The sequence below is a fragment of the Homo sapiens genome, chromosome 6 (assembly GCF_000001405.40).
Source record: "Homo sapiens chromosome 6, GRCh38.p14 Primary Assembly".
NCBI lineage: Eukaryota > Metazoa > Chordata > Mammalia > Primates > Hominidae > Homo > Homo sapiens.
In genome coordinates this window covers 98,026,935-98,045,627 of record NC_000006.12, presented here as the reverse complement: position 1 = coordinate 98,045,627, position 18,693 = coordinate 98,026,935, and the positions used below count along the sequence as shown (strand labels likewise).

General features: G+C 36.0%; 3 annotated features.

The window, feature by feature from the left end:
• Positions 266-1,675: an enhancer, noted in NCBI's record as "VISTA enhancer hs563". NCBI's record gives its function as "enhancer in: hindbrain (rhombencephalon)[9/11]" and the evidence as "EXISTENCE:transgenic organism evidence [ECO:0001131][PMID:17130149]".
• Positions 4,856-5,653: an enhancer, noted in NCBI's record as "OCT4-NANOG-H3K27ac hESC enhancer chr6:98487851-98488648 (GRCh37/hg19 assembly coordinates)". NCBI's record gives its function as "activates a minimal SCP1, AML or CMV promoter by ChIP-STARR-seq in naive and primed H9 embryonic stem cells {active_cell/tissue: H9 hESC(naive and primed)}" and the evidence as "EXISTENCE:reporter gene assay evidence [ECO:0000049][PMID:30033119]".
• Positions 5,654-6,451: an enhancer, noted in NCBI's record as "OCT4-NANOG-H3K27ac hESC enhancer chr6:98487053-98487850 (GRCh37/hg19 assembly coordinates)". NCBI's record gives its function as "activates a minimal SCP1, AML or CMV promoter by ChIP-STARR-seq in primed H9 embryonic stem cells {active_cell/tissue: H9 hESC(primed)}" and the evidence as "EXISTENCE:reporter gene assay evidence [ECO:0000049][PMID:30033119]".

Genomic DNA, 18,693 nt, shown 5'->3' with positions numbered 1-18,693 from the left:
AGAACAAGCTAACAGCCAGGGATTAATGCAAGAAAGGTGGCTCTTCCCCAAACATTCTGCCTTTTTAGCCCACTGTCTGGAAAACGAATTGAGATTTGGGGAACTCGCAGTGCTTTTGCATTTTTCTTCATTAGGAAGAGTATTTGTGAAACAAGCTCCAAATTTTTGCCATTCATGATTCCTGGCCACAGGGTGATATTCTTCAGTGACACAATCTTCAATGTATATGAGGCAGAGGATCATTTCTTATCCTGAGCACACGACGTAGCTAAGACGCAGCTGAAACCACCCCTACCACACTCTCCACTTCAACAACAGCAGCTCATTATCAGAAGCACGTTGTAAAGGGCGGTGCAAGCACAAAAATCAATCTGATCGCCTGTATAGCTCTGCAAAATCATTCCAAGGGAAAAAAAAAAATGCCAGAGAGTAAGGAGAAAAGGGGCTGGGAGGGTGGAAAAGAGCAGGAATGAGGACATAAACCCTCCAAGGTCCATGAGGACTGAAGTTTAATGGCTGAGTGCTTGTTTTGAACTGTGACCTGAGGTTTGGCTGGGCACTAACAGTGGCATGCCTCATCAGCCACTGTCATAGCCACCCCAGGGTATACCTCCAGCAGGGAGTCAGCTCCATATCCTGAATTCTCAACTACCAGCTACCCACTGCCTCCTCCACATGCACTGCTGAGACCCTGCCGAGAAATCAGCATGCAACCCAAGGAAGCATCCTTTCCTCTGGAATAAAAATTAATATTACTTGTCATATTTCATGTCTGAGCTCTTTTCATGCTTTATCCTCTGGTAATGAGGGCTAAATTACCAATATTAGTAGATTTTCATGGCTAGCACAGAAAGAGCTGTTACCAGAATAAATGTTTGCCTTGCTTCTGTTGGACACAGGCTTTGCTAATGCAGCTTTGCTAATTATTTCTAAATAGGCAATAATCTGCATCCCCTAGTGCTGGATAGTGGATTGGCCACGTACCTGCTATTTCCCTTATTTACATGTTTTACAACTTTATCAACTACACTAATTACACTCTGAGCACTGTTTAAAATTTTCTGTTAATAGAGATACAATGATGCACCAGAGGATGTGTATTTATGCCATAATTGCGCCTCTGTTCCTACGATGCAGTCTCCAATTAGCTGTCTACGGTGGCACAAGCAGCTGCCTGATATTCTAAAGCAGTGAAACATCTGCACGGCGGATGATACGCTCACATGGATTTTTTTTTAAGCCTAGAAATTTACACCCAAGGGAGTGCAGACAAATAGGAGCCTGTCATGTGTAGGGATGATTAGAAATCCTCACCATGGCAACATTGGAGCAGCCATGTCACAGAGTGAGGGGACACATGTCTAGATGAAGGCGCTAAAAACATTTGCCATTTTTTTTTAGCTTCAGTCTTCCAAACTTCCCTCCCTCCCCCTTTCTCTTTTTCATGGTCTTCTCTTTGCATCTAAAGCCAACCAAAACAGCAGGTGAAAAGGCCAAAGTCTGCAGCCATGCAAGGCATATGACATACGGGATCTAGTGTTAGGAAAAACAGTGAGCAATCAGAAATGTTAGACCCAGGAAATGTGCTGGGCCAGGAATGGGCGGGAGTGTGTTTTGTTTGAAAAATATCATAATAATTATTATTTCTTTAAGTGGTGGATTGTGTTAAGAGCAAGAGGCAAGATAGAAAATAAATATTAGACAGAATATAACACTTGAGGTACCTTAGTCAAAAGATGACACCTAATTTAAAATTTCCTTTTAACCCTCATTAACAGTTACAATTTCTGCATGAACAGTTGGCTAGCACACATTAGTGAGAGTAGGGAAGGCACACAAATGTCTTCTAGTCTGATATTGAATATATTTCTTAATGGCTGCTTCTTTCATAAGCCTGCCCATATAAGGACACTACATGGATGTATTTAATTACACATTAAAAAAGCCTTTAAATCCTATAGGAAGTTACGATGGAAATGCAAATATATATCATTGTGCATTCTAGAATTATATTGATTTGTATATTATGCTAATTATAATTTTGTTAAGAATAACATTGTACTGGCCTATGATTTGACCACATAGGCTTCAAAGATGCCTCTCATGATATTATATGTTTTGGTCTACATATTACCTTAATTCCTGTTTGAAAATACCAAAGTTTAAGTTATTAATTTAAAAATTGGTCTTCCAAATAATTATTATATCATATGGTTATGGCAACACTTCACAATTAATAACGAAGGCATGTTTAAAAGTATTTAATTAGCAGGGAGCTGAGAGGTGAAGGGGGCTACTAGTAGAGAAATAATTAGGGTGAAAATCCTTTAATACAAAGAGTAATTATAGGTAGGAGCAAAAATGTAACATATGTGCTAAATTATAAGACTACTACAAGCAATGTGAATTGCATTAAGGTTCAAACCATATCAGTTAAAATCAGCTCCTGTTCTGTGACAATGGTCCCCTTGGTAAGGCACTAGCTTGTCCATACTTGTGTTACTTAACATTACTTTGGGCTGCTACCTCAGAAATGCCAAGATGTCAGGGTAAGGTACAGATAATTCTATCATAACTGGAGTTCTTCTGGGAATAAATCTCAAAAATGTACATTTAAAAAATCCTTTAATTCATTCCATTGAGAACAAAGACAATATTAGGAAATGCTATAGTTAAATAAATACTTAGTTTATTTTTGGAAGTATACATGTATGCATACGCATAAGTATACATATATACATACATTCATAAAGACTGGCAATGCTTTCAAAATAACTGCATAATACTATATGCCTAGAGTATAAAATCTCAAATTGGGATAGTGATTAGAAGCAGGGTTTTATAGTTCCTCAACATGTTTAAAATAACTTCATGAAATTCTAATAAAAATTTAAAGAAAAGATCATCTTGAGTTAACAGACTATATTAGCATTATCTTGGGTTAATGGCAGATAAGTCTCCTAAGACCACTTCTTCTAATTTTCTAACATTCTGGTACCACTGGGTACATGATGATCAATATTTCAGTCAACCCCCTCAGGCTCCTGGCTTTTATCAGACCATGGCACTAAGACACCTTACAGTGTTTACCAATGAAATCATAAAACGTTAGGTTAACAGTGAAAATGTCTTTCCTCTACTTAACACTTTAGTAACATGAGAATTAGTTATTTATTCAGTTCCAAAAGAGAATCTGAGAGTTGCCTCTTCCCCACCATATCCTATAAGTAAATTCTGAGTGCAGTTGGAGAGTGTCTACATAAATGATTCTTGTCATTACTCTGGTCTGTGGGTCTCGCTGTCCCTCAGCATACTATATTTTGTACAAGCCTATATTAGAGAAGTATGATACTGAAGATCCACCATCCACCACATCTGTCAGCATAGGGACAGAGTTTATCTGATAAACAAGTCATTTTTAGAAACTGCAGATGCTCCCACTGTGAAGTATTAAATGTGGCCCCGCTTAGATACATAGAATGGGGTTCCGGTTGACTGAACGCAGGCTGATAAGCTCTGAACAGCTCAGAATGCTGTTTGCCCACATACTAATGTTAAACAAAAGAACCGCAGACTGCAGAGAAAGGATGCGGGTCAGACCAGTAAATTGCTTAAACCCTTAGGCAGCCTTCTGAAAAGAAAAGGCATGAAAGAAGCTGATATGAGCTTTTATGCAGAATTGTTCTGTTTATTATCCCTGTTAAGGAAATGATGGCAAGTGCCTTGTTAAACTATATATTCCCAATAAGACAAGAGGACTGACTCTAAACAAGATGCAATATGCCACTGGTCATCACTTGATAAACCATACATATCTTCTATATTATTTCTATATTTAGAATGTAATGCGAAAGACAATAATTTAAGCTGTACTCATGAAAACCATAAAGGCTGTTAAATGTGTCTTAGTATTACACTACCTGATTTGTCACTGAGTATTCCAAGCTAATAACAATCCGTCATGGAAGAAATCTATTTTGTATAAAAATTTCACTACCTTCCATTAAAACTTTGTTAGTTTTCAAACGTGATGACTATATTTCAAATGAATTGCTGAGACAGCTTAATAATAAAATCAGAATGAAGTATATCATTGTGACAACATGTAAACTTACCCTGAATAGAGCAGGGATACAATTTTATTAGTAAAATTCTCCAGTGGATAACATGACAGTCAGTATTGAATCTCCCCTGTGTTAGGGGTTGGAGCTGGGGGAAGGGAGAAAAAGATTCTTGAGTTTGCTAGACTTTCAATACTTTCCCTCAGGTCTGACCCCCTCAAGAAACAGCATCTTTTCTGAAAGCAGATTTTTCTTCCACTCAGCCCAGTCTCCTCTCCCTCCCCTCCTGCAGAGACACTCCCATTCTGATTCATGTTTTGGGACAAAGGAAATGAGGAAAAATCCCAAGGCTTAAAGAAAACCTGATGAGAGAACCCTAACAGATAAGCAATGGATTTCATCCAAATCACAAAGCAAGAAAAGATTTGGCAATCAAAGGGCCACAAACATACAGAAGGAGAAAATAAAGCTATATGATGTAAAGACAGCATAAAGAAAAACATACACAGGCAATTGCACCAACAATAAAAAACTAAAAATTACCCCTTTGCTTAAAACTAGTATAACATGTCATTGAGTACTACTTTGACATTTTCCTGCGGCTTTTCTCAACAGGCAATAAATGAAAACAATCTTGAAACCATTCTGCTAAAGGCTCAGTGTAGGAGGCATGTCCATACTTTGTCATCAGATAATCTTACAATCAGGGTCAGACTTAAAGAGTTTACACCAATAGGCGCAACAGGTTTTTAATAGGAAATACTCAACTCTGCTTCTAAACGTTTAAAAAACAAACAAACTGACAACAAAATAAAAAATTAAAGATACACACACACTAATATGAGTCTTCTGTATTATTAATATAATCAAGTTTTAGAGAAAATAAAGTTTGATAGTTCTGCTCTTAAAGAACATAAGAAACTGAGTACTAAATTAGTAACAAAGAGAGCCCAACCAGCCAAGGGGAGCAGAAGGGAATTGATATGCCAATCCAGGCACATGGGACTGCTGATTGTGTGTACTCAGTCTGAATTAGTAGAGAGCTTAGCTAATCACAGACATCAAAGTGAAAGGCAAATGGACAGTAGTAAAAAACATTCCAGATTTAAAAATAAAACAAAACAAAAACAAAAGCAAGATTCTGACATGGTGACATTGCAACTCTAGTGAATGGTCCGAGGAGGGAGCTGTTGACACAAGTTCCTGGGTGGAGATAAAATGACACCATGCATCCACAGAAAAGAAGTAAAAGGGAAGAGAACTTAACTAAACAACATATTTGAAATGATTTGGCAGAAATAATGTTCATTTAAGCTACAAATCTCCACTCTCAGGGTATCACCTAACATAGATCCTTTCTACATGCTCCCTCTGGGTGTGGTCCAGAGCCAATGTGTCCAGAGCAGAGTCGACACATTCTTCAGATTACACAAATAAATTCACCCCAACAAAGAGGAAAGTGCTGAGAAAAGGCTAATAGGAAGTGAGTTAACCCCTGCAATGCTTGCCATATTGTTATGGTAAATATTTAGGATGGCCAACTCATTAGATAAATAGATTCCAAGGACGCTCTCATCCTCAGGGCTACTCTGAGACCCATGTGAAAGGACAAGGCATGCAGGAGATGTATCCTTTTGCATAATGCCTGATTCCAGAATGCATAATGGGCACATCACTCCAAGTACTTTCCATTGCACACATTTTCCTTTATAGAAGTTTTGCAAAGTAAGCCTTTTTTTCTTCTTTTTCCTCGGTGATACGCATTGACAGCCTTCAGATGACGAACGTAGATGGTTATATCTGCAGGCTGCAAATTCTATCTGCTCAAGATTTATTCCCAAAGACCCTCACCTACCTAATCTGAAAGGTCCTTGCAGGGCACAGGGCTCACCGCTGTGCCTAAAAGGTCAGCAGTGGCAGAAGGCAGGGCTGAGGTGGAGTGGGATCTTTGGAGCACTCTGTCCTCAGCAGCTTTCTGCCTTTTGCCTCAGCACTCCCTTGGGGAAGACCTACAGGAAGCATACACACACACACTCCCTGAGTATGAGAGCAGCACTGATAACATTTGTTCACAACAATGCAATACATCTTTTTTAAAAAATTAGACTTCCCCCTTTCTGCTTTCTTTCCTTTATACCCCTGGGTATGAGAGGGTGAAGAGTTAGCTCAAGGAGAAATATTACATAACTTGGTAAACTTTATTTTGGATGAATTAGTCTTAAAAAATAAAACTATTTTTTTTAACAACACATATACATTTTCTTTCAGAAAACCTACCACAGAGGCTATTATGTGAAATCAAGGAATCGTTCTGAAAGCACAAATATTGAAATGAGAAAGGGATTCTTTTATTTTTAAATTATGTGAAACTTGCACACATATCCAGCTACTATCAGAAAGCATTTCACTTACAGGCCATAAGAATATGTATACCTTTTGGAAGTGTAAAAGATTCTTCTGAATTAACATTCACTAAAAGTAAAGAATATAAAAAATAGCAATACTAAAAATATGTTTTGACTCCATATATGCTTGAAATGGCAATAAAAAGTACAAATAGACCAGAGAATTTATTTTCCATGAAATTTTGGTAAAAACTTATGAAATGGTGAGGAGTCGACTTGAGTCATTAAAGATTACCTTGACTTAAAATGCTCTGTTGTCTATAATATCCCACCTATCCTCATAACATACTTACAATGTGGAACATAATTTATTTTCTATATCAAAGTTTTTAAATACAGAAACTATGGTAAGAGAAGTCAGTGACCATTAATTAATGCTTTAATTAATTAATTAATTAAAGATTTTTTTTTTTGTTTGGTGCATGTTTCTTAAATAGCTTTTTCTTTTGGCAGGGTAACTTCAGGCCTTGGGGTAAGTTCCAAAGTTTACTTTTGATGTATTTCCTAAAATTGGTTCTCAAAAACACATTTCCTAAAGTTGACTCTCAAAAACATGATGCCTAAATGTTATTCATCATACAACACTGAAGATTTACATGTTGATCCATTAAATGGTTTTCATTCTCTAATAAAGAATTCTCCAAGGCTGGCTATCTTATGTCTGAATTGCCAGTGTGTTTATGAAGTGTGCTAATTGATCACTCTGCATGACCATGACTTATTGTTCTGTTAATTATTTAAAAGCCATGTTTAAAAAAGAATGAAGAACATAAAATGTAAATGAAAAAAATAAAAAACATAGGAGTAACTATTGAACAGTTTGGTAATTTTCCGTCAATAGGAACCGATTTTGGCATCAAACATATTTCTAGAAGGAGATCAAAATGAACAGCATGTTTTAGGCTTTAAAGTTTATATCAAGGTTGTGCTTACATAAGTCAATACGTCCTGGAGGCTCTTGCAGCCAGCCATCCTTGCATACTGAGTCTATCCCCAACTTCTTATTTGTGTGTCCTCTTAACATACTCCACCTCTTCAGATCTGTTTCCTCATCTATAAAATGTTAATAGCTAACTCATAATGTTGGTGTGAAAATTAATTGATTAGTTAATGTGATTAATAGATCATTCTTAATTTCATCAATTCAGGTGATTAAAGATTTTGTAATGAATTAACTTGATATTTTGATTTTATTTAGAACAAACTATTGGAGATAAAATAAATGATTAAATCAAAAGAGTCACCATGCAAGTGAACCGTATACTTTCTTTTTTTAACGAAAAGTTTAAAAGTCTTTTACTGGAAAAGACATGAAAGAGTTATCTGAGTATTTGGGTTCCAGTCTTAGTTTCTTCTCAGAAGGAAATTCTGTTCCTCAGTGTCTCCCTCTGCAGAACGAAAGGGAACTTACTGCCAAGTAATATCCTCCTCCGACATACTCTGAATATGGGGCAACCTCATTTAGAAATCCATTACTTTGGTTTACAGGTTTATCATCCAAATGCGAACGTTTGTGAATAAAAGGGGGCTGTGTTGACAACCACTCTCCCACAATAGGAATAAACTTAGGTTCTCTCTAGCAGACAGACTTTTGGTCTATCTACCTGTAAGTATTATCCTACTGGTGAGCAATTTGTTTTAATTATTATATGAAATCAATAACTTGTGAAATATTTTCCCCTTAATCACATTCTTCCTACCCGAGTGATGTATAAATACTCTCTTTAAAAAGAAGAGCTAAAGTGAATTTTAAGGAACTACCTAGCATGTTAAATAATTGCTACTGTAGGGTATGAGAGAAATCCTTGTTATATAAAAACTATTTTCTGCAACAATATTTTTTAAAGCAAGTATCTGTAAGGGTTTCTTAATTTGGTAATACTGACAGTTATTCATAGAAAAGGAGTTTGCTGAATTAAAGTAAATAGGAAAACACCCAGCCATTTTTAGACAATTTCAAAAGGATGTAGAAGTCTGACATTAATACTCATTGATTTTTGCCTTAATTTTGAAATGCAAGCCATTATAGACTATTGATGATGCTTTTGTTTTTAATCTCTTTGCTGATATCTCCATCACCTTTAACTTACACACAGACCCTGAACAAGGTGTTATGAAATGCTGTTGCATTATCAATGATGCAGCAACATACCTTTCTGGCCAGTTGAGGGGAACAGAATCAACTCATGAGAGCTGCAGAAGCTCTCCTAGTTGGGTACAGGATCATCTTGCCATCAAATGTGACCTGACACAATCAACAACAGTTGATATATGTGCTGTAGTTACTAAGGCTAAACTCTTGATCAATATGTCAGATTTCAAAAGCGATTGCAACAAAGTAGACTCTGGATTATGAGGGAGCTGAATGCACAAAGGCAATGGAAGGACAAATCAGGCAGGACTGCCTGCATTTTGCATGTCAAAGGACGGAGCACATGATGCTGGATCTATAAATGCCTCAGTACTTAGGAAGGCAGTAGTCTGTGGATCATTCGGGGGGCTAAAAATGTTAAACATTACAAGTTAATTATTAGTAAGAAGAAGAAGGAGAAGAGGAGCATGAGCACGCACAGTTCTGTAAACCACAGTAATTCTGCCCAGGCCTGTGACTTGCTCAGACCTCACCTAAGCATCCATTAACATGATAATGCCCATTAATCCCGCCAAACACAACTCATCTGTCATCCTCAGTGGCAACCCATCTGTGTGCATGTTGAGGGGGGAAATTCACAGTTTTAGCTGTCCAGGGATTAGCTTCAGAGGAAAGGCTGATTTTCCCTAATTCTTTGCTAGGAAAGCACTCATTTGTTTGCATTTATTGAAGCACCTATTTACTTTTCAGCTTTCATCATCTCACCAACATCTTAAGCAGAAGATGGATAAAATGGCAATAAAAACATTTCAGAAGAATCAAGCTGAAGCCTAATTTAGTTCCTTCTCAAAGTTTGTGAAATTATTTATTTTTATTTCTTGTCTGATTTCAGAATTGCTTTCTGTCACAGCAAAGGAAAATATGTACATATTTTTATATCTTTAAAGTGTTGTCCATTAAGAGGCTATGCTCTTTTATATTTGCTTTTCTCTAATTGATATAAAATGGGTAAATGCTATGTATGTTTTTATTATCATATATATTCTTTGTTGTGTGAACAAGAAAGAGACAATATTACTTCAGAAAAAGTAAAAATAAAAGGAGCTTAGTTTTTTTTCTCATGATTAAAAACAAGCACAGTGATATCTCATCTTGCCATGAACCTTACCCAGTGGTTAAATAGTTTGTTCTTTGAGATGTATCTATTTTGAATAAAATTATATATGTATAATAAATACAAATTCCCTTCTAATGCAAACTTACAAAAGTATTAAAAAGCACTGGCAATACAAATAACATCAAAATGTTTTAAGGGTAAATCAACTATTCCACTCAGTCAATTTGGAAAGAAAAATCAGTTACAAGGCATCATGACCCGTTGGCTCACCTAATTGTTTTACTTTTCAACTAGCTATATTAGAATAATGCAGCAATGACCTGCTGTGATAAGCAAAACATTCAAATAAGCATTAAAAATAGACAAAATCAAGCGACTAACCTGGCTGATTTTTCACCAAAATCATGTCATTTAACTAAACTGATTAGCAAGTTTATTTTTAAAATTTATATTTTTCTATGAGCACGGCCAGGCATTTTTTGTTAATATCTATAAAGGTGATAAGTATCATTTATTTGTATTATCCTTATCTAGCATGTCCTCAAGTGGGGTGTTAAAAGATCTTACATGAAAAGTATTCCATCATAAAATAAGTTTGGTAAAAATTGGGCTAAAAAGAAGTTAACCAGTCCCAACACTTTGGGAGGCCAAGGCGGGTGGATCACGAGGTCAGAAGATTGAGACCACGGTGAAACCCCGTCTCCACTAAAAATACAAAAAAAATTAGCCAGGCGCGGTGGCGGGCACCTGAAGTCCCAGCTACTCGGGAGGCTGAGGCAGGAGAATGGCGTGAACCCGGGAGGTGGAGCTTGCAGTGAGCCGAGATAGCACCACTGCACTCCAGCCTGGGCGACAGAGCAAGACTCCGTCTCAAAAATAATAATAATAATAATAAAAGTTAACCAGGTTAATTCTGTACAGGACTTCTTAGTTAATGAATTTCGTGTATCTATAAGTAAGAAACACATGAGGAAGTTACTTTACATGTTAAACTCTATTTCCTCATCTGCAAAATGGGGGAAAAATACAGAACCTGAAACCAATTAGTTCAGGCAAAGCAATTAAGAGTGCCAAACACCCAGCAAGCAGTTAATCAAAATTAATTAATATTATTAGAATATACATATTTTTAAACATATTTGGCAAAATATTTTTCCCATGTAACAGTACTTGAAATTAAATTTGCAGAATTCACTATGGAAAACATTACTCTAGAGTAACATTGGGAGGTTTCTACTAATTGAAAATATTTGTTGGAAAATGTCTCCACTAATAATCCCTCAATGTGAAAAGAGTTAAACAGCATGAATTAAAAAAAAAATCTACCTATTAAAGAAGGACAATTAAAATTAAGCCTGTACATTCAAGGAAAAAGGATCAAACTATAAACCTTGTTACTTGAACAACTTCTTTTTGGGTATCTTGTACCGAACATCCATCACTACCTGTCCATCACATCTGGAAAATGAAACAGATGTTAGAAAGCTGACACAATAAAACAAACACTACTATTTAGCTTTTGTTTTCTTTTTCTTCCATTCAAGATGCCACTAATAGAAATGACATAAAATCTGTGTATGGCAGCATTTCTGAAAAAGAACAACTATGTAAATAGAGCATGAAGGAAGCATGAAAGAATCTGGCAAGCTCCATTTGGATCTTTAGATCTAATAGCCCAGATTTGGCCCTCAGATGTGCATGCATGCATGAGGTGATACTGAATTTGACCGAAGCTGTGCAAATAATCCAAAAGCAAAATGAGTCCGATGCTTGGTGCCTAAAGAGTTGGAACTGCAATTTCCAGATGAGATAGTCATAGAAAAGCTGCCCAGGCAAAAAGGAAATGTCCTGTTTCATCCTCACTGAGAACAGTGACATTTTAAGATAAAGTAATGTTTAGAGATTTTAAGTTTGTTTTTTCCTACAGCACCAATAACCAGAATTATTTTCAAATATATTTATATCTATTAAAAGTAAATTTTGTGAAATAAAACACATTTCCTTTCAATTGCATAGAAATATGTGGGTATTTATGAACTATCAAAGTCAGTGAAAGATTTAAAACCCATATGTGTATGTAGAACTTCAGCTCCACCAAAGTGAACCCTATGCATTTGCCTGAATATGCAATGATGCAATCACTAAAATAAATGTACTTGCTGCACTCAATTAAACATTGTATTGTACATGTGTGTTTATTCAATTGTGTGACGATAGAGTGAAACACACACGCTTGGCGCATTTGTCTCAATCTGTAGTGCATTTATTTAAATGTACAATCAATCACAGGCCTTTGCTTTTAGTATTTTCTTTGTATTTTTAGAGCATGCTAAATATACACCATTGTGTGTATTCTGTGACATGGTGAAGAACTCAAATGCACACTAAATAAAGTAATATAAAGTTCAAATTTAAGAGAAAGAAATTACGCAACTAATATGCATAAATGGACAATTGCTGTCAGAGTTGTACGTACTGAGCTGTTCCTGTTGATAGATGACTGCATGTATAGTTATATTAATACATATTTAATAATAAACAGAAACAATGTGAAAGGTATTCAAACCTATATTAACATATTTTCTTCATAATTATATATAGCTTTACTGTCTTATTCTATATCAATAATTATTTCAAACATGTTTATTATCATATTCATCAAATTGTTCTATTTTCTGAATTTGTTGTGACTCATCCTTCTGCTTGTTATGTCTGTTAGCTCTTATTCAGGGTATGGTATATCACATTTTATAATTTTAAGAAGTAAACTCATCTTCAGGAGGGCACTATCTGTGCCTATTCTACGTGGCCTGAGTTGAGGAAATGTTCCTCCAGAGCAACTTTTCCTGTGGCATTCTGGCCTAAGACCAATTTATTTTAATACTAAATTCTAAACTCATCTTACTGCAAGTTTCATATTCTAAAAGGACCTTTTTTTCTTACATCCAGTGCCAAGACAAAGAGAGAAGAGCTCTCTTGCCCACCTCTGGCTTTTTGTCCATGCTGTTCTCTTAACCTAGAAAGTGCTTTTATTCTGTGCTTGACATGATCAAGTCTTCTCATCTTTTAGATCTTAACTTACAATTCACCTTTTTAAAGAAGCTGTCCCTAAAGACACTTCCACTCTTTTTTATTTACATATTCATTCAATTAACATTTATTGATTGCCCACAATATTTCAAGCACTGGGAATACAGTAATGAATGGAACAGATGCAACCACCGTACCTACGGAGTTGATAACCTAACAATATGATCCTTCCATGCTTCATCTCAGTATTCCATTTCTTGCATAGTGCATGCTATAATTTCTAATTTTTCTATTTGCTTACATTTTTCTTTGTTTCCCTATCTTACTTGGCTACATGTTTCCTAAGAACCAGCACTATGCCTCTCTTGCTCACCTACATTTTCCCTGACATCCAGAACAGTGCCTGGAACATGGTAAGTGGTCAAAAAGTATCACTTGAATTACTTAGTTAAGAGAAAGACAAATAGGTTTAGTCCTTGCAATAACCTAAAGCAACTAATACTGTCACTATTTTGCAGTTAAAGGCATAGAAGCTGAGTAGCAATAATGGTAGGTCCAAACCATGTTGCTGTTCAGTTACAGGACCAGAGATTAGCACTAAGTCAGTGTAATTCAGTACATAATTGTATTAATTGTATTTTGAATTATTTTATTGTGCACCTGTGAGCAACAGTAAATTCCTAAGAGAGTAAGCTGTGAGGAGAGCTAGGTTTAAATTTAGAAAAGTTAGTGAACCATACTCATCTCTAGTGGGGATAATAATCTCTAACTCAAACTATAAACATCAATTAAGATAGTAGATGTAAATTCTTACAACAATGTGAATATTATTTCTGATTATTCTCATAAGAATGTGAATATTAATTCTGATTATTATTATTACATAGGAACAAATAATGTATAATTGTCAGAAGCATCTTCTATGTGAAAGTTATTTGAACTATAGTCATTTCAGTGAAAATCCAGGGCCCATTTCTTATACTTCTCTTATCTTTAGAGTAGCAAAGAAGTCTGTGCTACACCTCAACAGGCATTCAATCTATGTGTGTTGGGTGGATGGTTAGATGGAGATATGAAGAAAGAGGGACTAAATTAATTCTTTTTTAAAGAAAAAATAGGTCATAAAATATAATAATATAAGAATATATTTTTAAAAATATATGTCCAAACTTGAAAAGTATTTTGAATAGTATTAAAAATGCATGGTCTTTTAAAGTGAATTTAAATACAAGAGTGTTGTGTGTTTATTGAGTTATCACTCTGGGATCAGAACAGTCCAGAATTTTAGCCCAGACTGTCCCCTTAACTTTGTTATGTAAGTCATGTACTATCTCAATACCTATAAAATGGTGATACCAGTAGCAAAACAAAACAACAACAACAAAAGGACCATGATGACACTTGAGTGACATATTTGATAAGGCCACTGACATCATTAAAAGGATATTTTAAAATTTTTTAAATTCTGACACCTTAAAATATTATGCTCATGGGAGATGGGATTATTTTTAGCAATAACTGACAATGAGCACCTTAGGTAGAGAGAAAAGGGCCAAAGTGTCAGTCATTACTTCATTACACTTATGTGGAAATTTGAACTTTTTTTTTAAGTGAGACTCACATAAAGGTTTTCTTCTTTATCCCCACTTTGAGTACTCAGTTATCAGTGAGCTTTTTCTAATCCTTAGCAGGGGGAGTTCAATGATGTGGTGGGAAGCTCAAGAAAAGAGAACAAACCCTTTGAAAAAATATGGCCCCTAGTAGAACAATCTAGGAGCTCCAAGGTGAGCCTCACTCAGCCTTACAGGTGCCTGAACTACTCCCTGTCATTCACCAAACCCAAATTAGCCAGAGATTATCCTTCTTGCTATCCAGCATGGGTTCACTGTGGGCTCCTAGAGGAATACATATACCTCCTTTTCCACCAAGGACAATAACTTAACCTGCCCTATGGGAGCCAGGCTGTTGAGCCCAGGATAACTCATATAAGGTTGGGACCTGCTGCCTTGGAGCCAGGAAACCCGAGATAGAAGTGGCCACATTTGGCATCCTCCCTCCATCAGGACAATGAATTTATCAGCTGACTCTGAGTTGCTTTATTGATGAAACCTATTTGTCCTCTGGCCACCATCCATTTTACCTTGTCCAGATGTTTGCTACTTGAACTACATCATTTTTGCCTAATGCTGCCTATGCCATATGGCACTGATACCACCACTGCCTTGCCTGAAATGCTTCTAGCTCAAGTCCCTGGTTATTGGCGTAATTATATCTCCCTAGTGTGCGTGACACAGTCCTGATTTGCACCTATTGTCCCTGTATAATATCCGCAACTCTGCTTTTCCTCTTAAGAGCCCTGGTTTGGACCATAAATCATAAATCATGTGATCATATTGCTATACTGTGTAAAGGATCTGCCTTCATATCCATCCAATAGAGAAATGCATCCATTCCTAATGTAGATAAACCAATCACTGCTTTAGGCTATCCATGAAAACTACAAGTGATTAAAAACCAATAATTTGACCCCTAATGCCATAGTATTTATCAATAACTGATACATTATATGTTCCTTGTTTATTTTTTTTTCTGTCTTCCCTAGCTGGACTGTAACTTTCATAAGGGTGCGGGCTTTTTCTGTTTTGTACAGTACTGTATCTTCAGCAATAGAAGGTTAGTAATAAATATTTTTGGGCAAATAAATAAATGAAAAAAATCCAAGGACTAATGCAGCACAATTTGAACCTTACTATGGTCCTAGAAGTACACTGAGGTCTTTATACATAATGTATTTTTCAATCCTAACAACTCTATAATGCAAATATTACCTTTAAAGAGGAATAAACCAAGTAAGAACAAGGATAAATAATTTGGGTACATCCCACAGCCAGAATTCAGTGAACCCAAGATACACCCATGGAATCTAGTACCAGAGTGTAAATAGCCTGCTGATGCTACTACTGAAGCATATACCCTTCAGTTTGTTCACTTTCAAATGTTTTGTGCGGACAGAAATAAACAAACTATATTTCGTTCTAGCAGACTTGAGGAAGATCAGGTTTAGAGAGAGTTAAATGCTTTCAGTTTATAAGAAAGTACATTTTGATTTTTAAAAAACCAATAATGCAAAAACTTGTCATACATCCAAGTCTAGAGAGTAGTTAATGAAAAAGCATATGCCTTATTTAACTATTTCTTTGAGATGGCTAAAATTGCTAACACTAGAGCAGGCAGTGTTGACTGCACTATCACCATCTTGCTGGTAGACAGTATAGGGAACAGTTAGTGCATTTAGCAGCAAGGTGTAAACACGCTGTGGCAAAGCAGGAAAAAGCAACCAACTACAGCATACATAACACTTGGATCTCCTCTCATTTTAAAAGTTATACCATTTTATTACAAACTTCTCCTACCCTGCCAGCACTCTCTAGTCAATTCAGAGTGGTCACTAAAAGATTGATTTTGCATGCCAAAGAACTTAGAATTTATTTTTTACTGATTTTGTCTACTGGGATTATTGCCATTCACATCAAGTTTAAGTTACCTGTCCAAGTCCCCAAGGGTTTTCACCATTCCTCTTCTCTCTTATTCTCTCCAGTCATTGTTTCCTCTGACCTCCTCACCTCTCTCTCACAATCTCAACCATCTGGAACAATTTTCTTATTTTCCTCTGACAAGTGTCATATCTTACTTAAGACTCTCCTTAAAACTCTTCTCATCTGAGACAATGATTTCAAGCTTTCTTTGATAGATGTGTGGGCATTCTGGTCATGACATCTACCACCTCACTGATACCCAGGGGTTAAATGCTGCTAGTCTACCATCTAGTCAATTGATCCCACCTTTCAGGGACTTATCAGGTCCTTTTTAGAGGGGGAAACACTAAAAAGGACCTGATAAGTCACAGAGAATTCTCTCTCCAGATAGAGTTCAGGCACTACTATAGCCCACCACAAGAAGCACCAAATATCCTCTTGGATAATTTGAGAAAACAACTATTCTGCCTTCAAATATCAGCAGCATGTGGGATGATCTGAATGCATGGCTTACAAATTTGTGTTCTCTGTGTGGCTCTTTAAGTATCAGGAGAAAATATTCTATTGAAATTATTGCATTTACCACCTTTTTGAAGTTACACTACATGGATAATTTAAAACAGAGAACCAAGGCCTATCACAATTTCAATAGAGAATCTCATAGGCATAATAGAACATGCATTTAAAAAATATGTTTCATAAAACTCTGATACCAGAAGATGTAAGCTAGAAGGGATTTCATGGCCACGCAGCCTTGGAAAGTAACACACACATGCTTCCCACTCTGTAAACACATAATGAACATTAATGAACACAGGGAATAAGTCTCTGTGAAGTCCTGTCAAAAGCCATCTCTACTACTATTTTACTCAGTATTTCCCCAATTTGTTCCATCACTGAATTCTCCTTTTAATTGACATAGAACACCATGTTACCTAGCAGAACTAGCATTCAACAGAACACAATTTAAGAAATATTGTCTCAGAAAACAAAAGTTGGGACAGGTGTATAAAATAAGTCAAGTCCAGCCTATTGATCTTATTGGTAGATATAGATGTCTCTCAAATTCGTGAAACATCGTCTATTTTAATTTCTTTATCAGCTTTCTTGAGTCTAAATTTCTCTGTGCCAATCCATCTTCCCCCATTCCCTGATGAAGTAATTTCTCATTGCTCAGCACCAATCTTTTTAACTGAAGTCAAACACCTCAAAATTACCTATTTGTCGTAGCCTAAAATTCACACTCCTTAGCATGGCCTTCTGTAATTTGAATGAATTGAACATGTAATTGCAGAGTCATCTAAAAAACCTATTTGTCATAGCCTAAAATTCACACTCCTTAGCATGGCCTTCTATAATCTGAATGAATTGAACATGTAATTGCAGAGTCATCTATCATTATTCCTTCTAAATGTGCCCAATGTGCTGACGAAAGTGTAACTTTTTTTCAAAGACATTCACTGGTTGCCCACCTCTGGGACTTCTGCTCATTTCTTCTTACCAAATCCTGCCTCACCTTTGAGGGTTTCTCAGTGGTACTTTCTCCATAAGGGCTTCTAGGACTCCCCTAGTTGGAATTTTACATTTTTTCATGTTCCTAAAGTGCAATTTACCTGTATGTCAGCTTATCAGACTATGTTGTGTATTTAATGACTTGTCTGTTATTCTCAGTGAGACAGGAAACTCCTTAAGGATAGGGTCTGTGTTAGGTTTATCCCAGGATCCTACTGCACAAAGTAGATTCACAGTAAATATTAGTACAGTTAAATCATATAGTCCACAGTCACACAGACAGTCAGCAACAGAGTGACAACCAGACCACACCACCTTCCAAAACTGGTATTGTTGCTAATGAAACATAGTAAAAGCAATGGAAATATATGGTTTGGTCTAATTTTGTACTTTCAGATTTTCATTGGAACTACAAGATACCACCAATATTTCCATTGTTGTATTCTCACCAATTCAATGTTTTAAGGAAGAAAAATTATGATATGAGAAATTAGTATATAACTCACAAAGGGCAATGTATCAAGTTAATTTTATAAAATCAAACGAATTGTGTGAATTATTGTTTCTAAAAATAAGCAATATTAGAATGATAAAGAAAGTGTTGTATGAGGCTTGAAGATAGGAATAGCTTTCATCGCTCCTTCAGGGACATCCTACTTCTATGACCACCATTAACTCTTCAAGCCTCTATTTCTTCATCTGTAAAATGTCAAACATTTGTTGAGTGTTGAGCACCAACAGTGTGCTTTGTATTGCTAAATTAACTTATACTAAGCATATAATCTCATATAATTTTATGACAAGCATATGGGGTTGATATTATTTCCATTTTATATGTAAGGAAACTGAAGCTCGGAAATTATTCAAATCACTTAACTAAAGATGCACAGCTAGCCACTATGTATGGCAGAGGCAGAATTCAAACCCAATTTGTCAGAGG